Source organism: Homo sapiens, chromosome 5 (assembly GCF_000001405.40).
Source record: "Homo sapiens chromosome 5, GRCh38.p14 Primary Assembly".
In the NCBI taxonomy this organism is placed as follows: Eukaryota; Metazoa; Chordata; class Mammalia; order Primates; family Hominidae; genus Homo; species Homo sapiens.
The window spans coordinates 44,388,358-44,415,983 of record NC_000005.10 but is presented as its reverse complement, the minus strand read 5'-3'; the positions used below and the strand labels follow the sequence as shown (position 1 = coordinate 44,415,983).

The following is a 27,626-nucleotide window of genomic DNA, read 5'->3' as shown; positions in this document are numbered from 1 at the left end:
CTCAGTATGGGGATAGTTGTCACACAGAAATAAAATTGGAGAACTAGCAGTAATGACAGAGGACTAGAAACTGAGAGCTGAGACATCCATCTATCTTTTCTCTTGAGTTAATGCAAACATGAGTGAAGCTGATACACAATGCAGACTGTCAGAAAGCTAAATCTTCTCTGGAAAGGCTAGCACAAGGCTGATGATACTATCATTGTGTTCTGATGCCTACTTAATAGCTGTGATATAATGAAGGTACTTCAAAAATATGTATATTGAAGACTTCTTGACTTTAAATCTTAAACCTGATTAATCTCCAGTAATCCTGTATTCACTCATCTGTAATGCAAGAAATACAGAGCACTCAAGATGCTGAGGAGGAAAGATCACTTGAGACTAGAAATTCCAGGCTATAGTGCACAATGACTGTGTCTGTGATTAGTCAAACTGCACCCCAACCTGGACAACATAGTGGAATCCTGTGTCTTTAAAAAAAGAAAAAAGAAAGAAAGAAATTCATATTAATCAGCACAGTAAATCCTGTTAAGTCTACCTTCAAAATATTCCTCAAATTCATTTACTACTCTGCATCTCTACCATTGCCTTCCCAGGTCACTATTATTCCTTGCTTGGTTTCTGGTAATAGCCTCCTAACTGGTTACTTCTCTTTCATTTCACTGCTCTGCTTAAAACCTTCCTTTTGCCAGGTATGGTGGCTCACGTCTGTAAGCCCAGCACTTTGGGAGGCTGAGGCAGGAGGATCACTTGAACTGAGGAATTTGAGACCAGCCTGGGTAACATAGTGAAACCTTGTCGCTACTAAAAATAAATAAATAAAACCCCAGAACAAAAACAAAAACTCTTCCTTTTTTCCCATTACCTTTAGGTTAAAAACTCAATGTCCTCACCAGGACCTATTAGGTCGTGAATGATTTAGCCTCTATCAGCATCTGCAATCTTATATCTAGCAGCTTCACTGTTTACATACCATGTTCCAGCCACACTGGTCTTTTCCAAGTGCCTTGAACTTCCCAAACTCTTTCCTGCCAGTGTTTTTGTGCTTACTGCGCTCACTGTCTAGAACACTCCTCACATGTCTGGCTCCTTCTCACTTTTCACGTTTCTTAATATTCTCTATTAAAAAACACTTTTTATTTTACTCACAATAACAATTTCAAGATTTACCATCTTATTTATTCATTTTATGCTGTATATTTTCTCTACCAGCAAATAATCCCCAGGAAGAAACAGAGACCTTGTCTGTCCTAATCCACCATTTCATCACCATTGCCTAGGACCATGCCACAGACATAACAGATGCCCAATGAATATTTCTGAATGTCTAAGTGATTGAACCAGTACTTCAATTTTGACATTTTAATACATCTATAAATAATTGAGTGATCTGAATGCCTAAATTTGGCTAAGAGGATAGGTTATATGGCAACGTGCTGATCTATTTGAGTACTCTCTCAATAAATGCTTTCAGTTGTCATCAGCACAGTTCTCATTCATCTTTGATTTAAGCATTTGTCATTGTGCCCCATTGTAGAATAGCATAATACAATGCATACATGCCTCACCAATCTGACACATCTAAGGTCACACTGTTAGTAGTACTTGAATATTGCTATTTCCAACTTCTCATTTTCTCATTCAGAAACTCCAATGCCTTAACACTTCCCACCCCTTCAGCAACAAAAAGGATCTTATATGCACTTCAATATCAGTTTGAACTGTAATTACCCACCATCCTCTGCTACTCCAAGCTCTATCTTCACCATCATTCCTTGCCTCACACAGGCCCCTCATTTCATTAAGGTGCATATTCCTACCTTTTTATTTGCAACATTAATGTTCTCAGTGCTCAAACAGTATGTCAGGAGTCTTTGCAATGTTCCATCCCACTATATTAAGCTCAATGGGTAGGGTTCCATAGCAGGAGAGCTTAAGGATCTGAACTAGAGTAAACTCACAGTACAAGTAGACTCAAAAGCATATATGGCTCTCGACAATAGAAGTGTATTTCTTGATCATGTGACACTAAAAGGTGAGAGAACAGGTAGATGGGTCTGCCATCTCTTATACTTTCAGTCACACAGAGACCCAGATTGGTGAAGTTTCTGCTGTCTTCTGCATGAGACTTCCAAAGTTCCCTGGGAGAAGTTTTTATTATAGGCAGCAGAAAAAAAAGAGAGAAGATCACAGAGGAGCACTTCCATGAGCCAGATCTTGAATAGCAACATCACTTCTTACAATATTCCACTGGATAGATCTGAGTCACCATGGTAATGCTTAATGACGACGAGAGCTGAGAAATGTAATACTTATCTGAGAAGTCACTTTTCAGTAACAATTCATGAATTTTTGCTGGATAATTTTCTCTGCCTACCACAGCCCATAAATACTTTAGAATATAGTGGAACACCTTTTCCGGATCACACATAGAGCCCTTCATGTCCTCAGGATGTCCACATGCTTCTAGGGTAGGTATATTGGGACTGGTTTCAGGACTTGGCACCACACCATACCCAGAATTACCATTTCATTCTTATCTCAGTCTCTGTTGCTGAATCTGCAAGCTTCTGCAAAGGTTCAAGTTTCTTTCTGTATCCTGGCTTGCAGAGGCTTCTATTGAACCATAAGTTACATCTGTAACATTTTGGATGAGTACAGTTTTTTTTTTTTTGCCTTCAAGGAAACTCTTCAACCCTCAACAAAAAGTCACTGGGAGAAAAATAGAGATTTTCTGGTGATAGTGTTGCTCAAAACTATCTACCAATCATACCCATACCACAGCTCCAACCCTTCTCAGATCCTTGTAAGGAATTTGAATTAATCCTGGATATTGGTTGGAATTTATGAAGACATAGGGGATAAAGAAAGAATTCCAAATAAGAGATAAGACTTCGCTAAAGACTGACAGGAATTCATTCATCATACATTCATTTATTCATTAAATATATATAGCTCTCTGAGGTTTAGAGAAAGAAAATGGCTTTTTCATGTATAAACAAGTATAATATTCTTTACATTAACTATAAACTGCCTCATGGTAGGAGCTATTCATTTTTCTGTTAGTAATCTTCACAAAGTTGATTCTAAATCCTATTTTACTAAAAATTTAAGAATACATCTTAAAGTTCAAAAATAGTTCTTGGAGGTGATTTCATTGATAAAGATCTTTTTAAAATCAAGATCAGAAGTAAGATTAGAATAAATGCAGAAAGAGTATAGGTATTTTCAAGATGAAGTCAGAAAGCAACTAAAAATACAGCTGAAAATAAGGTTAATATACTTAAGAATTGTAATTACAGGCAAGAGTCCAATGTTCATGAATCTCAATCTTCAGAAGACTGGCTAAGTAATGACATTTGAGAAAGCCAGTAAGCGGCAACTCTCCAATCCTTCTTTGTGAAGGAAAGCTGGACAGGCCTAGCCTAGCTGGCTTGAGTTTGAGGGGCCGCCTCAGAAGGTAGAAGTGCTTCTTGCTTGCATCTGTGGTGCATGGTGCCAGAGTCCAAATACAAAATTTTGTTCCAAGAAGAGATGCCAAGGGTCCGTTTGCAGAAATGTGTCCAAATGTTCTGTCAAACCAAAGAAGCCTGAAAGTCAAAGCCAAGACAGCCAATAAACACCAAGAAACAACAGGTCAGAACTGGGCAATAACCAGGATCAAATGACTTGGACTATCATTGTTCCAGGTGGGGTATAAGCTAAAATAAGCCAGTATATATAAAGAACATAGAACAGGGCAGAGAGTAAGAAAAATGGTTTCTAAAAAATAGCTAGGATAGAAATCAATTCTAACACAGATTTCTAGGAATGTGAAATAAGTGGTAACAAATGTAACTTGAGTTGAAAAAAACTGATAGATCTTGGCTCTTCCTAAACATATTCTTTATTGACTCAACTTTCAAATAGAATTTTCAGTTTTGACCAATAAAGTAATTGGTGTAGAATAAGAAATTATTGCCAGAAGATTTGTATAAAATATTAGAACCCTAGAAGAATGCACTTTTTCAGTAATCTCCTCTTGAAACAACTTAATTGCTTATCTTCCAGAAAAGACATAAAAAGCAGAGGCCTAAAGGTGAAGGTTTGATTAGACAGGAATTTAATAGCCATGTAGTTTGAGTGTAACTTAGATTGCGTGTCCCTGAAACAAATTCAGACACAAGAATCCATGTGCAAGTGATTTCTGAAGAAAGAACTCCCAGGGTAAGGGAGTGAGACAAGCAGGAAAGGGAGGGGAACAACGCAAACAACAATGCAATTTTAGGCAAAGCCTCCTGCCCTAGAGGATAGCTGCAACTTGATTCCACCAGGGTTCTCTGCAGTCTAGGATGTATGTCAGAGTTATTCTGCCCCAGTGCAAGAGAGCTGGCTTTCATATTTTTGCACTGCACTAGACCTTCTTTAGTGAAGAGTTACCCTGTGTGGAGGTCCTCTTTTGAGCAATCATAGGTACAGGTTGCTGGAAGCAAAAATGCGGGAAACTTAGGGTCAGAGCTCCGTGAAATAGTAAAAGGCATCAGAGGGAAGCCGGACAGAAGATTGATAACTGTGGTGGTGTTAGAAGTAATTTTAATATGTATATGTGTCTCACTCCTTTTGGGCTGCTATAACAAAATACTTTAGGCTGAGTAACTTACAAACAGCAGAAACGTATTACTCACATTTCTGGAGGCTGGGAAGTCCAAAATCAAGATGCCAATAGATCTGGTGTTTAGTAAGGGCTCACTCATTACTTAATAGATGGTGCATTGTTGCTAAGTCTTTACATAGCAGAGGGCACAGGGAGTTCCCTTGAACCTCTTTTTAGTTGGGATAGTAACCCATTCACGAAGATGAAGCCCTCAGGCCTTAATCACTTCCTGAAGGCTCACCTTCTTACTACTATCACATTGGGTAGTAAGCTCTAACATATGAATTTTGGGGGACACCAATATTCAGACCATAGCAGTATATAAACTCTGTTCCATTAAAATACATTTTACATAATCATATGATTAAGTATTCTTTTATAGGAAAATAGTATTTTATTAAAACTGTTATAAGAAAATATTTAAATCAACTACAACAAAAAGTGAAAATCTGTTTACTTCTCAATCATAAGCAAAATAAACCCATAAACCGAGAGATATAATAAAAATACAAATAGGAAGTGTAATAAAAGTGATCTGGGATGATGGTAACCTAGTAACATAATTTTATAATGACCTAGTAACATAATTTTATAATGGCTGAACAGTGTAAATTCATGCATCACCATAAGACATAATAACACGAATTACATTGAAAGGTAAATTAAAAGAAAATATATAAGGTATACTGGAATGGTAATTGCATTATGATAAAATGTGTTATTAATGAAAATATGGCATAAATATGATTTGATATTTTAAATAAAACTTTTAAAATGTGATGCAAAATCTTTACGACGTTCAGAAAGCATATGACAGATGAGTTATAGAGTGGGAGTTAAACTCAGCTGTATCTGCTAACGGTTAAACAAAATCTAAATATGAACATAATGATATCGAATGATACTCCCAACACAAAATTATCAGATATGTAGGTAAATTTTTTTACAAATAAATTGAATATGCTTTTATTAAAAAATGAATTTTCTCTGGTAAGTATTTATTCAAAAGCAATATGTGTTTCCTACCATAACTGAAGCAATGCAAGTATACATAAAGAAAAAAAATCTAAATCTAAAGCACATATCCTCCATTTCTATTTCCTCAATTAACCAATTTTAAATTGTTAGTTGTTTATTCTTAACATATTTATCCATATGCGAAATGTATATAAGATTTATTTTTGTTCATTTAAAACAGTAACAGTATACACAATACTTTCTACTTTCCCTTGCCCACTTAACAATATTACATGACCATCCGTCCTGATAAATATACATACATTTACTGGATTTTCAAAGGAGAGAAAAATTTTCAATAATAGGAATGACACAAAATGTATAAAATTATTTCTCTATGAATGATGAATATTAAATATGAAGCTTTTTCTATGTCACTATAAACATTGATACACTAATAAATTTTGTACCTATGTCCTTGTATGCCAGTGTTTTATTTCCAAAGGATAGATTCCCAGAAGTGGAACGTCTGGGTCAAAGAGTATGTACATTTTTTAATGTAAAGATAAAAATAAAATTCAGTTGATGACCAAGTATTTTTATTTCACTAAGAACATAAGAAGCAATCAAAAGGGAACTCTCACAAGCTACCTGAGACAAATTTGCCACTTGACAGGATCTATATCATATACCATGTTCTCTCACCCATGGTAAAATTAACTGTTTATTCCCCTAAATCTAATCCCTTCATCTATACACCATATTTCATTCTCTCTTGCCTACTCAAAGATAGTTTCACTCCAACACTTCTCCCCTTTTCTTCTGTCTCTTACACAAACTCAGTATTTCCACTTTATCAAGACAAAAAATCTTGGTGCTATCCTCCACTATTCTTTCTCTCATGCTGAACATACAACACATCAGCAAATCAGTTTGATTATACTCTAAGATGTAACCAGGATACAATCACATTTCACCACTTTTAATGTTATAACCTTAAGTCCAGCTAAAGTCCTGGATTACTGCTCTAGTTGTCAAAATGGTCTCTTTGCTTCTACCTTTGTTCTTTTACAATCTACTCTTAACTCAGTGGTCAGAGTAATTCTTTTCACCCTAAGACCGATGATGCCACTATTTTCCTAAAAAATCTCAATAGTTCTTTACTTCTGTCAGAATAAAAACCAAAGTCTTTACACACATGAACCCACAGGTCCACCTGCAGCTCTTTACCAGACCTTTGACCTGATCTCCTGTTACTCTACACCTTGCTCATTCTGTTCCAGCTAACTGACCTCCATGTTCTCTCTTGAATGTGCTAGATATGGTCCACCTCAGGGTCTTTGCACTTGTCACCCTTAACTATAACAAGCTTCCTCCAAATTGCTGCTTACTTAATTTCCTCACCTTCTTTAATTCTGAACTTGGGCATAATTTTCAGAGTGAAGACTGTAACAACCCTATTTAAAATTTTAGGCACCTCCCATATCCCAATCCATCCAGTCCTCTCTGTGTTATTGCTATGCAGCACTTACTGCTCTTAAATAAAATGTATAATTTCCACATTCTAGATCAGTTTAGATATTTCATAATTGTAAATCATTTTTATTAGTGTTTAAATATTATTGTATTCACTTGTCTTTATATTGTCCAAGATTTCCTTATGGAAAAAGTTTAACATACAACTTAGTGGAACAAATTTTGTAATAAACATCCTAATACTCATCACCTATATTTGACCATATACATTTTACTGTACTTGCTTTATTGCATACATCTCTATGTCACCATCATCCTGTTTAGCAATCCAGCCACTTCACTTTATATGCATTTCTAAATGAATTGCACACATCAGGTTTAATTCACATTTTCCTGATGCCAGATAATGCTGAACACTTTTTTACATGCTTACTGTCCTTTTATATATCTTGTGTTGTAAAACGTCTGTACAGTTTTTGCGCATTTTAATTGAGTTATTTGTCTTTTGCTTATTGAATTATAGGGTATCTTTGTATAACCCATATACCTGCTCTTTGCCAGCGGTATGTATACAATTTTCTTCCCACCTATGGTTTGCCTATTCGTTTTTTTAACTGTGTACTTTGATAAGCATATTTTAATTTTTGATAAAGTATAATTTCTCAATTGTTATAGGTATTGTTTCTGTAAACTAAGAAATCTTTGCTTACATGAACATCATGAAAATTACATTTTATCTAAAAGTTAGATGATTTCAGCGTTTATATTTATGTCAATAGTCCATTTTGAGTTAATTTTTGTGTATGGTGTCAGGGAATTTTTAATTAATAAATTTTATCTATTGGAAGAGTTTTAGGTTCATGGCAAAATTAAGCAGAAAGTACAGAGAGTTCCCATACACACTCTGCCCACCGCCCCTCAACAACTACCGCCCCCACTATCAACATCCTGCACCAGAGTAGTACATTTGTTACAATCTAAGAATGTATATTGACACATCATTATCACTTAAAGTCCATAGTTTACATAGTGGCTCACTCTTGGAGTTGTACATTCTATAGGTTTGGATGAATGTATATTGACATGTAACCATCATTGTACTTTTTTTTTTTTTTTTTTTTTGAGACAGAGTCTTGCTCTGTTGCCCAGGCTGGAGTGCAGTGGCGCAGTCTCAGCTCACTGCAAGCTCCGCCTCCCGGGTTTCAAGCGATTCTCCTGCCTCAGCCTCCCGAGTAACTGGGACTACAGGCGTGTGCCACCCTGCCAGGCTAATTTTTTGTATTTTTGGTAGAGACGGGGTTTCACTGTGTTAGCCAGGATGGTCTCGATCTCCTGACCTCGTGATCCACCCACCTCGGCCTCCCAAAGTGCTAGGATTACAGGCGCATTGTACTATTGTATAGGATAGTTTCATTGTCCTAAAAATCCTCTATCCTCTGCCTATTCATCATTTCCTTCTCTTGAACTCTCAGCAACCACTAATTTTTTACTGTTTCCAGTTTTGCCTTCTCTGGAATGTCATAGAGTTGGAATCATATAGTAATTGTAGCTCTTTCAGATTGTTTTCACTTAATTAGTAATATCCATTTAAATTTCCTCCATGTTTTTTCATGGCTTGATAGCTCATTTCTTTTTAGCCCTGAATAATAATTCTTCATCTGATTGTAGCATAGTTTATTTATCCATTCATCTACTGAAGTATATCTTGGTTGCTTCCAAGTTTTGGTAATGATGAATAGAGCTGCTATAAACATTCATGTAGAGGCACAACTTTTCAATTCATTTGGGTAAATACCAATGAGCATGATTGCTGGATTGAATGCTAATGGTATGTTTAGTTTTGTAAAAAACTGCCAAACTGTCTTCCAAAGTGACTGTACCATTTCCTTTTCCCACCAGCAAGTGAAAGACTATCTTTTCTCCACTGTACTGCCTTTACTCCTCTGTCAAAGTATAGTTGACTATATTTTTATGAGTTTATTTCTGTACTTACTATTCTGTTTCATTGACATATTTGTCTATTCCTTCACCAACACCAAACTATCTTAATTACTGTAACTTTATAGTAAGTATTGAATTTCGGTAATATCAGTCATCTATATTCTTCTCCTTTAATAATTTGTTGGCTATTCTTGGTCTTTTGCTTCTCCATATAAACATGGTAATCAGTTTGTGAATATCCACAAATTATCTGCCTAAGATTTTTATTGGGATTGCCTTGAGTATATAGATCAAGTTGGAAGTAACTACTATCTTGACAATATTGAGTATTCCTATCTATGAACATAGACTCTCTCTCAATTTATTTCTTATCTGCTATTTTTCATTACTGTTGTATAGTTTTTCTCATACAGATCTTATACATATTCTGTTAAATTTACATCTAGGTATTTCATTTTTGGGGTGCTAATGTAAATAAAATTCTGTTTTAATTTCAAATTCCATTTGTTCATTGCTGGTATATTAAAAAGTGATTGACTTTTGTACATTAAGTTTGTGCCCTTCAACCTTTCTATAATCACTTACTAGTTTTAGGAGCATTTTTGTTTATTTTGTTCATATTGTCTACATAAGTGATCATGTCATCTACAAAGACAGTTTTATATCTTCTTGCCCAATTTGTATATATTTTATCTCCTTTTCTTGTCTTTATGCATTAGTTAGGACTTTCAATATGATGTTTAAAAGCAGTAGTATCTAATCTTAGTGGGAAAACTTCAAGTTTCTCATAGTTATTATGTTACTGTGGATTTGTGTGTGTATGTGTGTGTGTGTGTTCTTTATCAGGTTGAAAAAGTTTATATTCCTAATTTCCTGATAGTTTTTTTAATAAATAGGTGTTGAATTTGATATGATTGTGTGATTTTTATTCTTGAGCCTGTTGATGTGATGGATTACATTGGTTTAGAATGTCAATCAGCCTTGAATACCCGAGATAAATCCCACTTGGTCATTGTTTATAATTCTTTTTATATATTGTTGGATTCTTTTTTTTGATTGAATATTTTTTGAGGATTTTTGTTTCTATGTTCCTGAGTGACATTGGTCTGTAGTTTCCTTTTTTGAATTGTCTTTTTTTTTTGAGATGGGGTCTTGCACTGTTGCCCAGGCTTGCAGTGGCATGATCTCAGCTCACTGCGACTTCTGCCTCCCAGGTTCAAGTGATTCTCCTGACTCAGTCTCCTGAGTAGCTGGATTACAGATGCCTTCCCCCACGCCCAGCTAATTTTTGTATTTTTAGTGGAGATGGGATTTCACTATGTTGACCAGACTGGTCTCGAACTCTTGACTTCAAGTTATCCACCCGCCTCGGCCTCCCAAATTGTTGGGATTACTGGCATAAGCCACCATGCCCGGCCATTGTAATGGCTTTATCTGGTTTTGGTTAGGTAATGCTGACCTCATATAATGAATTAGGAAGAATTTCCTGTGCCTCTATATTCTGTAAGAGATTGTAGATGATTGCTATAATTTATTGCTTAAGTGTTGTTGTCAACTTCATCAATGAACCCATCTGAGCTCTCTATTTTGGAAGGTTGTTAATTATCGATTCAATTTCCTTAATAGACATAGGCCTAATTCCAATCATCTATTTCTTGTTGCATAATGATTGGCAGGTGGTGTCTTTCAAGAAATTGGTCCATTTTACCTAGGCTGTCAAATTTGTGAGGAGAAAGTTTTCATAATATTTTTATTATCCTTTTGATATGCATGGGATCTATAGTGATGTTCCCTCTTTCATTCTTATACTAATCATTTATATTTTCTCTCTCTTAGCCTGCCAGAGTTTTATCAATTTTATTGATCTTTCCATAGAACTAGTTGTTGGTTTCATTGACTTTTCTCTATTAATTTCCAGCTTTCAGTTTCATTGAGTTATGCTCTAATTCTTATTATTTCTTTTTTTCTGCTTACTTTGAATTTCATTTGCACTTTTTAAAACTATAGTTTCCTAAGGCAGATGCTTAGAAACTTTATTTTAGCACTTTCTTTTTTAAATATCTGCATTCAGTGTCATAAATGTTCCTCTATGCACTAGTTTTATAGCATTCTACAAATTTTGATAAGTTGTGTTTTCATTTTTATTTAGTTCAAAATATTTTTTGAATTCACTTGAGATTTCTTTTTTGACCTACGTGTTATTTAGAAGTCTGTTGTTTAATCTCTAAGTATTTTGGAATTTTCCAGCTATCTTTCTGTTATTAATTTCTGCTTTAATTCCATTGTATTCTGAAAGCAGACATTGTACAATTTTTACTTTAGATTTGTGAACATGGAATTTATGGCCCAGAATGTGGTCAATATTGTTGAATGCTCCATGAGAGATTGAGAAGATTTTGTATTTTGTTGTGTTTGGATGAAGTACTCTACAGATGTGCATTACATCCAATTGACTGATGGTGTTGTTGAGTTCAACTATGTACTTAATGATTTTCTGTCTCCTAAATCTGTCCATTTCTGACAGAGGGGTGTGAAAGTCCCCAACAGTAATCATGAATTAATCTATTTTTCCTAAAAGTCTATGAGTTTTTGCCTCAGGTATTTTGATGTTGTGGTGTTAGGTGCATATACATTAAGGATTGTTATGTCGTCTTGAAGAACTATCTCTTTATCATTACGTAATGCCTGTGTTTATCCATGATAATAAGTCTGCTCTGTCTGAAGTTAAAATAGCTACTCCAGTTTTTTTTCGGTTTTTTTTTTTTTTTTTTTTGAGACAGAGTCTCTCTGTCACCCAGGCTGGAGTGCAATGGCACGATCTCGGCTCACTGCAACCTCCACCTCCTGGGTTCAAGCAATTCTCCTGCCTCAGCCTCCTGAGTAGCTGGGATTTCAGGTGCATGCCACCACACTCGGCTAATTTTTGTATTTTTTTTTTTTTTTTTGGTAGAGACCGGGTTTCACCATGTTGGCCAGGCTGGTCTTGAACTCCTGGCCTCAGGTGATCCACCCACCTCGGCCTCCCAAAGCGTTGGGATTACTGGCATGAGCCACGACACCCAGCCTACTACTGCTTTTTGAAAAACAGTTTTAGCATGGTGTATCTTTCTCCATCCCTTTGCTATTAATCTGTATGTGTCTTTATATATAAAGTGAGTTTCTTCTCAAACAACATATAGTTGGGTCTTACTTTTTTATCTACTCAGAAAATCTCTTTTTTTAAATTTGTTTATTTAGACCTTGATGTTTAAGATGATTATTGATATAGCTGAATACAATGCTATTATTATTTTGAACGAACTATGATCTGTTAGATCAATTAAGAAAAAAGAAAATTAAGGTTTATTATTTCAATAATCAGGACCTTCAATACAATGTTGAATACAAATGGTGGTGACTGTGTGCATCTTTGCATTATTCCTGATATGTGGGGGAAATATTAAACATTTTACCACTATAAAATGTTACCTGCAAATTTTTACATAAGTCCAATTTCTTTAAGACATATGAGGCAGTTATCACATAAGTTGGGAGTCACTGAACTTCTCTAAATCTATAAATTTGTATCTTTCACCTACTTGCGGAAATTTTGGCCACTATTTATTCTCTTTTGTTTGTGTGCCACATGCTCTCCCTTCTCTCTTTTGGGACACCATTGTGCTATAGGTCCCAGAGTTTCTTTGTGTTTTAAAAATCTTTTTCACCCTATTCTTCAGATACCTAATTGCATTGACCTATGCCCAGTTCCACTTCTCCCTTCATAGTCACAAACTCTGTCATACTTCCAGGAACTGTGTCTACATATGACAATGCCTGGCAGAATAAAAGGGACATCTCTTTTTATTTATCAGTAACGTTGCCAGAAGACTTCCCCTATGCCAGAACTATGTCACATATCCATCCTAGGCCCAATTGCCAGCAAAAACAATGGTATACTACTTTTGGTTTAGTGAGTTATATGGTCTTCAAGAGGAGAGTTGGTTCAACAAATAAATTAGAGACTCTGTCACAAAGGAAAAAGCTGGTTGTACTTCTTGGATAGGCAGCCAGCAGTCTCTTCTACATAAAGCTCTGCATTGCAAAATTCCAAAAGACAATTTTCATATAGACTAACACAAGAATCATGGGCCCCAGAATTGTACAATTTGGTGCTGTTAAAATTAATTACTAGACAATTTTTAAAAAATAGAATTGGGAAATTCAAAAAATGAAAACCAGTTTTATTTTCATCTAACTGCAAAGCCACTTCAACAGGAATGAGATCAGTATTGGTTAAAATTCATGATATAGACACTCTAAGCATAGTTTAAAAGGAACAAGGAGGATATTCTAAGGTATATAGATTAGCATATAATCATTGTTGACAAAAATACGGAAAAAGAAATGATTAGACTAAGATTTTGTAAAAAGTCTACAGTAAGTTTTCTCAGGGGGAAAAAAGCAAATAAAGTTGTGTTAGTCAGAGTTCTCCAGAGAAATAGCATGAATAGGATATATATATCCTATTCATATATATATATATATATATATAGCTATAAATTTATTTATTATCTTATAATACATCTATATATTGGCTCACAGAATTATGGAGGCTGAGTAGTTCCAAGATCTATAGTCAGAAAGCTCAAGACCCAGGAGAGCCAATGGTGTAGTTTCAATCAGAGTTTGAAGTCCTGAGAGCTCATAGAGCTGATGGTATAAGTTTCATTCTGAGTGGCCGTGGCTTGACACCTAAGAAGAATTGCTTTTCCAGCTTGAGTCTGAAGGCAAGAATTTTTTTTTTTTTTTTTTTTTCAGACAGAGTCTCACTTCGTCACCCAGGCTGGGGTGCAGTGGCTGTGATCTCTGCTCACTGCAGCCTCTGCCTCCTGGGTTCAAGTGATTCTCATGCCTCAGCCTCCTGAGAAACTGGAATTACAGGTGGGCACCACCACACCTGGCTAGTTTTTGTATTTTTAGTAGAGATGGGGTAGAGAGGCTGATCTCGATTTCCTGACCTCAGCCTCCCAAAGTGCTAGGATTACAGGTGTGAGTCACCGTGCCTGGCCAGAAAAAGATTGATGTCCCAGTTTACCCAGTTAGGAAGGAGGACTTCCTTCTTATTTATGGGAGGGAGAGCTTTTTCATTCTATTCAGGCCTTCAACTGATTGGATGAGGCCCACCCATGTTAGAGAGGGCAATCTGCTTTACTCAGTCTACTGATTTAAATATTAATCTGATCTGCAAACGCCCTCGAAGGCACACTCAGAATAATGTTTGACCAAAATATCTGGGCACTTCATGGCCTAGTCAACTTGACACTTGAAATTAACCATCACAAAAGTATTTCACTGGGTGATGATAAAAGCAATTATTTAATGACAAACTTCTCTGTTTACAGAAGTATTCCTAGAAGAAGAAAGGACCAAAATAGGCAGTAATTAGATCCAGTTAGTTCAAGAGTGTGATTCATATTAAAAATTAAGTCATCTTTTCAGATGAAGAGAAGGCCAAGGACTTTTTCCTTTGGATAAATTCCTAGAAATTATATCATTTTTCTGTTCATTAATGCAGTTTTGGATAGTTTTTTGGCAATTAATTCCTATTTTAGCTAAAACTGCCTAAAACACCAGTGCAATTAAGGACTGTCAAATATTAAAAATGTAAACAGAGTAGTATCATCTCATCATGGTTAACTCCTATTACTCAATTTCTTATCTTTATGCAAGTACCATGGGTTTGACTTCCAAACCCTTCCCATCATAAAATACCTACATTTATGCAACACCTTTTTATAGACACTTGCATAAGACTTAAAAAATCCATTTAGTCAGAGTTCCCTTTTATCAACATTTGCATTTTCTCACTATATTACTCATTATCTTTTTTCCAAAAAACAACAAAATTTTACTGTTTGCTGTAAAATATTGGTATTGTAAAAAGAATATTAGAAAGTTGGGGCATGCGGCTCCTAAAGATTCTGTCATTAATTAACTGGATAATATCAGGAAAGTAATTTTTCCTCTATGGACCATAGTTGTTTCATGTGCAATTGTGTAAAAAAATGAAAACAGAGCTTGATTTTAGACAGGACTTTCAGTTCCATAATTCCATGATTCCATGAAATAACCAAGTAACTAGATTGGTTTTCCATGTTAATGACCACCTATTTTTACTATTGCCATTAAGTGGTGCTAATACAATACATACATCATTATTCTGGATCTCATAGGTTAGAAAATTTTAGAGCCAAATGGTCTCTATCCCTTTGCCTAAGTATTATCCCTAAGACACAAAATTATGAGTGTCAGAACCAGAAATATAATGTAGATTTCCTAATTTTTGGTTTAGCACCCTTTACCTCTTTTCCCATTCATCTGAAAATATAATAAACTATGTAAGCCTGACAAGTATTCTGAGTTATTCTTTCCTCCCCATGTGACAGAAGATACTATTAATAGAATTTATTAAAGCACAGGTTATCAGGCATTATTCCATATCTCATTCCATATTATATCATCATTCCCTATCTCCCTTTCATCCTCAATAGACTTGGCATTCTCCAGCAATGTGAAAGTCTACTAAGTGAAAACTAAGAAACTGTATATTTTTCTACAAGAAACAGTTCCAGGAAATACACTTTGTTGGAGAATAAATCCAGAATAATATTCAACAACACACAGCACACACATCCACTGAGGAAAACACTGATCTGTTTCAAAATATTGTCCAACTAAAAACACATTACTTCCATACTCTATGTATTTTAGGTCATTTTATCATGAAAAATCATTTAAAAATCTATTAGTTGAAGACTCATTCCCAAATAAAATCATGTTACTTGTACTAACTTTAATACCTATACAATAGTGCTAGAAATTAAACATTATAAAAAAAGAGGTTAACTTAGGTAAGGGGCCTGTATTAGTCTGTTCTCACACTGCTTGTAAAGACATACCTGAGACTGAGTAATTTATAAAGGAAAGAGGTTTAATGGCTCACAGTTCCACATGGCTGGGGAGGCCTCACAATCATTGCAGATGACAAAGGAGGAGCAAAGTCACGTCTTGCATGGTGGCAGGCAAGAGAGAGCATGTGCAGGGGATCTCCCCTTTATAAAACCATCAGATCTCATGAGACTAATTCACTATTACAAGAACAGCACAGAAAAAACCTGCCCTCGTGATTCAATCACCCCCTACCAGGTCCCTCCCATGACAATGAGAATTATGGTACAATTCAAGATTTGGGTGGGGACACAGGCAAACCATATCAGGGTCTTAAATAGTGTCACTTTTGGAAAATGTGCTCCAGGTACACACTCCCTTCCATCAGGCTCTTAAACATACAGCTTCTTTACAGGAACATCACACACTCCTGAAATTGAGGACAATGCCTCATCCACTTCTCTTCACCACAGAGGGAAGTGCTTGGGCACTGGCTCTTAGTCTTGAGATGCTTTGACCAAAGGCAGGGATCTGGATCAGAGCCCCTTCCATTTGCATGCTGCAGGAGGGCTCTCTGCATCCCTCCCTTTACTAGTCCCTTGTAGGGAGCAGCACTGTGACAAAACATTCCACCTTCCCCTCCTCCTATCTGAACATAATGTTCTGTTTCCAGCTTCTGCACTTTCCTGATGGAAATTGGAGTACACAGCTTTCTCTTTCCTTTCCACCAACATCATAAATGTTGGCCATAAATGTTTAATTTTTCCTAATGGTCATTCACCCTTCCTCAGTTGGGTAGCTTTCAAAAATTCATTTTGTAAGAAAGACAATTCAACCAGGAGACAAGCTTTCCTCCAAATGACAGAAGCAAATATGTTTGAGACAGAAAAATGATGAAAATGAAATTGGCTCCCCAAACTTTATACAGCAATTAATTTCTTCATAAAACCTTTATATGCTGTCATGTGGATACAACTGTGTGTATTTTCAGTAGGCCTGAAAGGATAGTGTTTATCATTAAAATGTTCCTAAGTACCAAAACGAATTATACTTTATATTGCTAAATCTAAAAGTTGCTTTATTTAAAAAAGAAAAAAAAAAACTCTGAGGCTGAGGTTTCTAACTTTACCAAAGATGTGGTTTCCTTGCTGTCTGTATTTCATTTCCCTTGCTTCTTTACCAAAAGATAAACTAGTCACTTTTTCCCCTGGCTTTGCTTAGTTATAATTTTTTTAACCTTACAAACAATTTCATTTTGGACTTTGATAATAGGAGATCCTGTCTTTAGGTTAAGACTCATTTTACTACTTTAAAGTTTTACTTATTTTAAAAATGCAGTAGCTAAAATTCAACTGACACACTCAAAATACCAAAACAGAGGTGAGAATGGCAGCAGAGTTTGTTAGCTAAATTCTAACTCTTAAGTAATGAGTAAATAGGGATTTTTTTTCCTCATAGCCCCCCTTGAGGTCATTTTAAGAATCTTCACTAAAGTAAGCTTCAAATGCTCTCAGGGAACATCCTCAGCTAGCTTGCAAAGTTTTTTTTCTCCACTAATTATGTAGAATGGATGTGCACTATCCAGCCTTAGATTTCTAGGCAAAATAATCAATTTCTTTTTCATCTTGGTGGAAAAGTAGCCCAGAAGTTAGGTATCTGCCCCCAAAGGAAAGAAGAAGGGTTAACTTGACACAGAGCAGGGTCCCAAGTCAAGGACAAGGGCTCTCTTTACTGCTACTGTTGTAGTATCAATAATCAAACAGAGCAGGTGGTTCTGCAGAACAAACCTCTACATTTGGGAATGAAACAGAGAAGCAGAGGTATTGCTTTCATTTAAGTATGCCTTCAGAACCCAGAATTTTCTAGAATAAGCAATAAAATCAGGCACGTGAAAGAGAAAAATATAAAAAGACATAATGTGAAGTACCACTGTCCTTACTCCTTAGGCTCTCTCAACATGGAGTCCCCCAGACTTTGCCAACTGGCATTTCTGAGGTTCAAAGTACTGAATCTGGGTGCCCAGGGCTTTTCTAGGCAGAGGATTGTGTCAGAAAATGGAAATAAATGCTGGCTTTGCCACTTGGGCAAGTAACTTCACCTGCCTGGATGTGGACTTTCATATCTAAGGTCCATGTTCCTTTCTACTTTTTCCCCTATCTTGTCAGACTGGAGGGCAAATAACTTACGCATCTAATCATATAACACTTAAATTTCTTTGATAAATCAAATGCTCTTAATTGCCTTCCAGTTACAGTGGGCTACTTTTATTGTTCTACTATGCAATTCTTTTACTAGCATTATTTCTGTCAGTCTAGAAGTTGACCTCTAAAACAGAATCTAGCAATAATTAATAGAAATAACATTTATCTGTTATAGATAGATATTGAACAGTGCCAAAATTGTATATGTAAGTCTTTAAGCTTCTTATTATTTTTTCAATCTATTCCTAATGATCTGATAAGCTTTATTTTTCAAATTCAAAACAAGACTAGATGTCTAATAAGAGGTCCTTGAAGGGGTGTGTGTGTGTGTGTGTGTGTGTGTGTGTGTGTGTGTGTTTATAAAATGACAGGAATGAGTTGGGTGATTTCCCACAACTAAGTTTCAAATTGTAGAAAATACATGATTAAAATATTTCTCATATATATTTTAGGAAATTATATATTTATATATATTTTCCTATTTTTAGGGAAAAAATATATAAAACAGCAAGTATAGGCGAAACACTGAAAACATACCAGCTAAATAAATAAACATTACTATCTAGTGCTGTAAGGTAGGAAGACTCTACCTTAATTCACCCACAGATGAACATGGCTACAATGGTGTAAAGCAAAAGAATGTTTCTTTCTCAGAAGTTGGCCGAAGAAATATTTCTAAGTTCTTTCTCCCTCTGCCAATATAATTCAAATGTCAAATTAAAATAGCCAAACTTCTGCTGATAACTGAATGTATTAGTCTGTTTTCATGCTGCTGATAAAGACATAACCTAGACTGGGCAATTTACAGAAGAAAGAGGTTCAATTGGACTTACAGTTTCACATGGCTGGGGAGGCCTCACAATCATGGCAGAGGGAAAGGAGGAGCAAGTCACATCTTACATGGATGGCGGCAGGCAAAGAAAGAGAGTTTGTGCAGGGGAATTCCTCTTTTTAAGACTATCAGATCTTGTGAGACTTATTCACTATCATGAGAAGGGCACAGGAAAGACTTGCCACCATGACTCAATTACCTCCCACTGGGTCCCTCCCACATGTGGGAATTCAAGATGAGATTTCGGTGGGGACACAGCCAAACCATATCACTGCAATAGGAATATGAAAGCCAGAATTTATACTTAACATATAGGAAAGAAGGAGACATTATAGATTTTTAAGAAGAAATGAATTTCAAAAGGGCCTACTGTTGAACCATAAACCTAAAAGCAGTCTCCTTCACCCCTAGCTAAGATTCAAGAGATTTATCAAAAAGCTGTCCTAACTTAGCGATAGCCCAGAAGTTTTCAACCACAAGGTCAGAACCTTCCGAAGGCAAACATTGCAATACACCTTGAGAATTTTCCAAACATCACGTGCCAAATGCCCCAGAGATTCTGAAATGTTCCCTCTCTTCCTTCTTGCCCCACAGCCTCAGAAGGGGCCACTGTTATTCTTGGAAGTGCATTATATCTGTAAGTATGTAAGGCTGAAGTGCTTGCCATTCACTAGTTTAGTGCACAGGAAGCAGCTTGTCACTATCGGCCCTGTCATCCTGGGCAGCTCACTTCGTGATCCCAGATCTCTCTTTTTTTTTTTTTCCACCTGTAAAGTAAGGGCAGTAGAACTAAGAGAGTTAAAGTATTTTCTAGCTATAAAGATACAAAATTCTATAAATTCTCAGGGTTATAAGATTAGAAGATGAAAGACTAAGCCCTGATCTGGGCTTCATAGACTCTAGGCTATATTGATTTCTATAAGAAGTCATTTGTTTATGAAATTTGTGAAACTGTCTAGACAGTGAGCAATACACAAAATTATCTGCAAATGTATTTCATCTTGGGGTTTTTGGTGCTTTACCTAGCTTTAGCACCTAGCTGTACAATTGAGGGCTGCATATTTCTTTATTTATTTTTAAAGATCTGTCTTTAGTTGAAACGAAAATGTTCAAACAATACCTCTCAGTGGGCTAGAAAATAATATTAATTTCCCCCATTCTTTTATACACCAGACTATTAACAAACATCAGTATAACATGTTTCCTTATAAAAACATTAATGATTTTAAAAATTAGTAAAGATTAATATTAGGAAATATTTAAACTAAAAAGAAAAAAGCTGATTTTAATTTAGAACTTTACAGTTTTCCATAAATGTATGTCATTTATGAACATAATTTCTACTTTCTTGGATTCCTTTTCTGAAGTCATTTATATAAATGTATTTTATTGAACAGTCAGCAATCAAAATAAATTACTCTTTGATTTTAGACCTCAAAATCATTAGCTAAATAAAAAACTCTGCAATGATCAATCAAAATTCAATATTAGATTATACATTTCTAGAGGGCAAATGTCATGCGGCATTACCTTTCGTATGGTTTAAGGAATCCTGTACATCACCAAGCAAGCATTAGATGCTTCACAACCTGCTTTGTAGTAATTTGCACTTCCCTGTTATCTCAGATATCCAAAAAACCACATTTTATGAACTGGTTACTTACTGTGATGGTATATACTGCAGTTTGAAGTTAGTGTCCTGAGTAGGACAGAATTCTTCCCAGTTGATTTAAGTGAAGAGACTTTAATAAAGTAACCAGTTACAAAGGTGCAGGCACTGTGAAAGAAACAAGGGATAATGATGATAGGCAAGTAATAGACAGGAACTGCTACCAGTCCTTGAGCTTAAGAAGATGGGGAGGAAATATTATTTTAGGGTTGCCAGTGATAGCCAGAGTCCTAGAGGAGGGGTCACCCAGTGGGAAGGGATACAGACACTGCCAGAAAAGTGTCACTGAAACATAAAGGAGGAGAGGAGGAAATATCCAGAGTTCTCTCGCCTTCTGTGTGCTGATCTAAGGATTCCATTCTCCCATTGACAAAACAAACTCAAAGTCTTCTATTTAAAAAGGACCGGTGATTCACACATGTCAGCACAGAGCTGAGCAGAGGAGGGGAAAGAATGGATCTGGGGGCCAATCGAAGGAAATCCAGTACAGCAAATATTGCATTGCCCCCAACACAATAATTTTTAATTCATAGAAAATACATTCTTTTTGTCAAAATTTGCTTAACAGAGGCAAAATTTTTCAAATAGAATGGATATCAGGTCAAATTATATTTCATAATAAGAGGCACAGAGGACAGCAAATGGATTAGGGAACTTTTATTGGGAAGTAATTAAAATAATAAACTAGAAAGCAAGAAATATGCTTCCAGGAGTCTGGGAGCAGGAGTAAAAGAGAGGAGGTCGGGTTGGGTTGACAGAAAGGATGCAACCAAAATCTCCACACTGTAGAGAAAATCTAGAAAAAAGGATTGTGCCAGGGACATAAAATAGGGAAAAATCAAGTCTTAATCATTCGTGAAGCCATAAATAGAAGTCACAGTTTTCCTTAGCTCTTGTTGTAGAGAAAAGGAAAATCAAAAAGAATTTTCAGGGGCTCTTCTTTCTTTTTCAATATCTGTCTTTCCAATATCTGGTTTCTGAGTCCTAAGATAACCATATTTTGCCCATCATTAATGATAAACTGCCTAAATTCATGCATTCAATCATGCATGCACATTCTTTATGGGGTAAGTTTCTCTGTCTAATTTATTGGAAAAACCTTGCACCATTCACAATGCCTACCTAGCATATAGTAGGCACTCAATAAACATTAATTGAATAAAAACCAGTTAAATGTCTGTTGGCATGACATTACAACTTTAAAGAAAATATTATAATCTGTCAGTTAATTCACAAACATAAATGACTAATATCAGAATGTTTACAATTTTGCCATAGATAGCAGGACTAAGATGCCTAGAGAGCTTGAAGTAGGAAGAGGCACAGATCTACAAAAGGACAGCTGGGAACACAGAAAACAAACAAAACTTTTCAGAGACTTCACAACTTTGTCAAGGGAAGGTTCTGTTTACCATCAGCTGGGAGGGGACAAACAGCAGCTTTGTGAAAATATGTTTGTTGTGTTTAGTGCCAAGATGCAAAGTTCAGTTTCCAGGAATTTGTGGTGATTTATTGTATGTTTTAAACAATCTTATATAGAATTCTTTTCTTGTTACAAAAGATCCTTTTTATCATCTTGGCCATATTTCCTTCCTAATAACAGATCATTGAGTCTGTTTGAAAGTGAGGGAACAGAAAATTAACCTTAGTTTCAAACTTTGAAAAAAACTTGTTTAAGCAACCTATGCTTTGAAATATCACAATACTTTATGGAAAATTAATATTAGAACGCAGAAACCCGGATCAAATTATAAATCTACTTTTCTAGAAAGTCTCATCAGTTTTCTAGAGGTGAACTTATAAATTCAGATTCTATTAAAAAATTGGGGTATTCTGAAAATATGGGGTATTCATTACTTTTTGATTGTGCTCATCTCGGAAGCATTGATAAAATATCCCCCTTTGCCAAGTATATATCAATATTTATTTTAGCTAACCCAGCTGGTACTTAATAATTCAACACTATTTTATTACTTTTCTCTGGTTAATCTATTGCAGCAAAGATATAATTGCTTTTCCATAACTAAACCCCTAACTCTTTTTATCATTTCTACTCTGCCATCTTAGACATATTAGAATGATGAATGGTCAATGGTAAGAAAGGGAGTAGGGAGGAAGAAAAAGAATATAAACAGGACAGGTGTTGCAAAAATTAGGGTAATAGCCTAAGGTCTATCACAGGAGTTCCAAATTCTGGTCTACCATGGAGTGACCTGGGAATCAGCTTATTCATCTATAAAATACATGTGTTGGATTCAGTTATAGCTAAGATTCCCACTGGCTCTGAAGCAATGCACACCACTATCTGTGGGATAACACCTCTTTTCTGTTCACTTGAAGCTCCTGGTTTAAAAACAATAAGATATCACTCCTTCATTCACCCAAATGTGAGTGATTATTAGCATCATTTCTAGCTGCAGCCTGGGAAGTGCACAAGTCCTAATGATGACTTAAAACTGGCATGTTCTGTGTCCAAAAGGGAAAAATGGGCTGTGACACATACTCATAAGGTCTGCACCACAGGGTGAAAAAATGAGGCCTGCATATGTCTAAATTTTTGAACAGCGTGGCTGACTTTTGACCTTACTTAGCATTACTTGAAGCAGCTTACTGACGCTGCCAATAACATCATACATAATAGGGCACACATCTTGTAACTGAACCATAGGTAGTGCTGAGCAACATAAAGAATCCAGGCAATACATATGTAAAATGTAAACTGCTCAAACACAATAGCTACTGAAGGATCTGCTAGTACATACACTGATTGCTTCTCTGAGGTTCAAGAGCCAGGTTTTAGGATTCTTCAATGGCTGCTGCCATGGTCTTGTTTTAAAAAGCCTCAATCATTTCTCAAGACATCACACGTAACAAAAGGCTGCATCTATTTCTCTCAATACAGAGCTAGCCTGATAGTAGCAGATATGTTTAAGGGCATAGAAATAAAGTATGCCTTCCAGAAGTTGGATAAAAGAGAAAAACAGCCTTTGAGAATTAGTAGGTACCACTCTAATCTGAAGCTTGTACTGTCCTTTTCAATCCTAGCAAAGAAACAATTAATAAAGGAACCCATTAAGACCTGATTATTGCAGCTAAAAAAGGAAGGTAGAATTTCAGTCCTTTGAAGTAACTGAGAATGATTCAGGCCTCATTACAGAGATATAATCTACATTCATACATTTATGTTAGTGATTCAAATCTATTGGGAGAGATTGAATTCCGTTAAATAGTGCATCTTTCCTGTGGAACTTTTCTCAGGCTTTCTCGGGCTAACCTAAGAGGTGACCTAACAATGCAAAGTAGTCGGGTATTTAGGGATTCAACTGTGCTGTAAAAGAAAGGCTGCACAGAAAAGAAAAAGAAGAATGAGATATAATCTAAAAAGCTATGTCAGCTTTTCCTTTGGGCTGTTTTGTAAATGCCCTCTTGTCATCACGCTGTACAGAAGAGCAGCGAAGGGGCTCTAGAACTTTCAAACACTGCACCTGCTGCAACCAGATTTTAATATGAAAGTTTAAAGACATCTTTTCCCTCATTTTAGACAGAAAAAACAAAGAAACTCCTAGCTAAAAGATCTGAATGGCTTCTTCTACTGGAACATAAAGTTGGTAGATGTGTGTATGAGAGAGAGAGGGAGAAAGAGAGACTAGCTTTGGATTGGAGGGGCACATGTCTAGGGTGAGTTTAACAAAAATTCTTAAACCCCAAAGTGGCATCAATAGTGTTGGTTCCTATTGTACAGAAACCCCAAAATAATAACTTCCTGTGTTTTGTAACTTTTCACAGCAGAATCTTTATTGTATGGTTTCATCAAACATAATTTTTAAAAAATGTAGTTTTAATTAGTTGTAAAATCAAACATTTGGATTCTTCTGGACCATTGGGCTGAAACCCAAATCCATGGGAAACACTACACTGTCTTTCAGGCATTTGTCCTCTCAGGTATAAAACTGTGAACTAAAACATTGAAATTCGCACTGTTGGTTCATTTTTCAGTATCCTAAAGAAAAAGACTCGCTTGATGTGTGCTCTTTATTTGCTTAACTTTCCAATTAATATCTACAGAAATTAGAGCTAATTATATTAAACTTTAAAAACCTATTGTAATGTTCACCACATTGTTGAACTCTTCTAAATAAGCACTGCATGAGTTATAACTAATGCAATTAAAATCCTGATTCTAGTATTAAATGATTCTATTTCAAAGGATTTGAATACACAGAAAAATATAAGAACATTCATGTAAACTCATTTTTCAAGTCACTAAATACTTAATTGAGCAATCATTCCTAATGCTCATCTCTAACGCTAATTCTTTTTTCTTTGCATTTCCTCTGGTTCACAACCAATATGGAGGTCAAACGCACATCATAGGGATCCTAGCTTGTGTGAACACAGACTCTTCTAATTAGTTCCCTCCAAATTACAGTTGCTGTTGTTAAACTCCCAGTTCACCTTGAAGTGTTTCTCTGTCTTACATTGGCAGCCTAATTTTAGGTTGAAACATATGAAATTACCACTTTTGTAGGTACAAAACCTTAAAATGTTGGCAATTTTGTGGGCTTCAACAAAACACAAATGTCTAACTGTCCTATGTGACATAGATAGTTCATTCCAGTACATGTTTAGGCATTCCTTCTAGTTAAACGTTCCCTAGTTTAGAGTCATTCTTAAAGAAGTGGTCCTCTAGGAGCTGTTTCTTATTCAGATTGGAATGGATTATCACAGTATTTCCTTTTTTGTGCCTCTTAACTCTTGGCAAAGGTTTCTTAGCCTTGGACTTAGTTCTGTCAATACCTGGGCTGTGAGCTAGTTTCTGCGAGCAAGGGAGGAGTTGGGGTGGCCTGAAAGAGTGTGAAAAGGAGAGGAGGACTAGTAGTGCAGTGATATTGTAAAACAGAGCCCTTTAAACATTAAATGTGAAGATAGAAAAAAAAAAAACCTCCCCTTTATGACAAAGTGCAAAGGAAATTGCATAAAAAAGAAAACAGACAGCAGGCTATTCAGCCAAATTATATGGTAAAATCTTTGCGATCGCCATAAAGTGCGTTTGCTTTGAAGTGCACGCATGATTCAGTGAAGGGCTCATGTTAGCAATTAGAAATCGGTTATTTGGGTCCCTGATTTCATTTGCGCCGAGAGAGGCAACTTTTAAGGGTGACGATAAATCTCCCTGAGCTTAAAAGGCAGAGAGGGCCAAAGTGTGAACTTTTTACTTCAGCAACGGAAGCGAGAAATCAGTGATTCATTAAAGAGGAGACCTCCTTGGAAGCTGGCAGCAGAGGAGGAAAGGACACTAATTATGTCTTCCTTTTCTGTGCTCGTTCTGACCAGTTTATAACCTGCTGCTTTGGACGGTTTAAAATCCTCAGCATCTTCTGCTTTCTCCCAGCCCTCTCCTCTTCTGGGAGTGAGAAGGGAGGAAAAGTCAGCCAAGCACCAGGCTCCAGGTGGCTCTCAAGTACTTCACTGCCAAAAGAAATGGGGGTGGGGGGAGGAGATCCTACGCTGGAAAGCAAGTGAGAAAGGGGCTCCCCAGAAGGGATTGGTTCAGGCTGGAAGACAGCAAAATTCGGAAAGCGGGAAGATACCGTCAGCGCCGTGGCCCGCGCTGCAAGCATAGGACGCTTTAGCAGCGAATTAGACAGAGCTAGAGGCGCCGGCGGAGGCTGCGGCCGCAACAGCCGCGGCGAGGAAGGGACCTGGCAGCCCCCGAGCTCGGTGCAAAGGCATCGCGCTCTCTCCTCGCTCCCCTGCTCCCCCACCCCCTTCTCTGCCCCTTTCACCCTCCCTCTCCCTGGCGTTCCCAGCAGCCTAGGGTTTCAGATGTCCCACCGCCGGTTGACCCCCTCCCCCCTCTTCTCCACCCCTGCAAATGAGGTTTGACCAGCAGAGGCAGAGCCCACCTCTGGCTTAGAATCACTGACATTTAGACTCCAGGCTTCAACCTGTTTACAAGCGGACTTTCCAAAGGAAGGGGGTGGGAGATAGGGCCATACAAAACACCAGCCGCCGTCCCCCAAAACAAAAAGTGACTTTCGGCAGCCTTCAAATCGGCAGGCACCACTAAAAACAGAAAGGAAGAGAGGGAAGAAAACAACGGCGACTGGGCAGCTGCCTCCACTTCTGACAACTCCAAAGGGATATACTTGTAGAAGTGGCTCGCAGGCTGGGGCTCCGCAGAGAGAGACCAGAAGGTGCCAACCGCAGAGGGGTGCAGATATCTCCCCCTATTCCCCACCCCACCTCCCTTGGGTTTTGTTCACCGTGCTGTCATCTGTTTTTCAGACCTTTTTGGCATCTAACATGGTGAAGAAAGGAGTAAAGAAGAGAACAAAGTAACTCCTGGGGGAGCGAAGAGCGCTGGTGACCAACACCACCAACGCCACCACCAGCTCCTGCTGCTGCGGCCACCCACGTCCACCATTTACCGGGAGGCTCCAGAGGCGTAGGCAGCGGATCCGAGAAAGGAGCGAGGGGAGTCAGCCGGCTTTTCCGAGGAGTTATGGATGTTGGTGCATTCACTTCTGGCCAGATCCGCGCCCAGAGGGAGCTAACCAGCAGCCACCACCTCGAGCTCTCTCCTTGCCTTGCATCGGGTCTTACCCTTCCAGTATGTTCCTTCTGATGAGACAATTTCCAGTGCCGAGAGTTTCAGTACAATGTGGAAATGGATACTGACACATTGTGCCTCAGCCTTTCCCCACCTGCCCGGCTGCTGCTGCTGCTGCTTTTTGTTGCTGTTCTTGGTGTCTTCCGTCCCTGTCACCTGCCAAGCCCTTGGTCAGGACATGGTGTCACCAGAGGCCACCAACTCTTCTTCCTCCTCCTTCTCCTCTCCTTCCAGCGCGGGAAGGCATGTGCGGAGCTACAATCACCTTCAAGGAGATGTCCGCTGGAGAAAGCTATTCTCTTTCACCAAGTACTTTCTCAAGATTGAGAAGAACGGGAAGGTCAGCGGGACCAAGAAGGAGAACTGCCCGTACA

The 27,626-nt window shown here is 37.1% G+C and overlaps 1 protein-coding gene and 1 long non-coding RNA gene across 3 annotated transcripts in view, besides 1 other annotated feature; one reads left to right on the top strand and one right to left on the bottom strand.

The window, feature by feature from the left end:
- Positions 1-1,994: 1,994 nt before the first annotated feature.
- FGF10-AS1 (FGF10 antisense RNA 1) lies at positions 1,995-27,252 on the bottom strand. The gene is made up of 3 exons (NR_108034.1): positions 27,071-27,252; positions 20,635-20,747; positions 1,995-3,593 (listed from the first exon to the last, which is right to left on the bottom strand). It is a non-coding gene; the product is annotated as an FGF10 antisense RNA 1 (long non-coding RNA).
- Positions 25,619-26,920: an enhancer, noted in NCBI's record as "VISTA enhancer hs516". NCBI's record gives its function as "enhancer in: limb[4/6]" and the evidence as "EXISTENCE:transgenic organism evidence [ECO:0001131][PMID:17130149]".
- Positions 26,564-27,626, top strand: part of FGF10 (fibroblast growth factor 10) — an 89,174-nt gene continuing 88,111 nt past the window's right edge. Inside the window, exons 1-2 of one of the 2 annotated variants that reach the window (XM_005248264.5) lie at positions 26,564-26,836; positions 26,928-27,626. In XM_005248264.5, the coding sequence (XP_005248321.1) occupies positions 27,302-27,626 (325 nt within the window). In that variant the 5' untranslated portion in view covers positions 26,564-26,836; positions 26,928-27,301. The other variant, NM_004465.2, reaches the window with a different exon arrangement.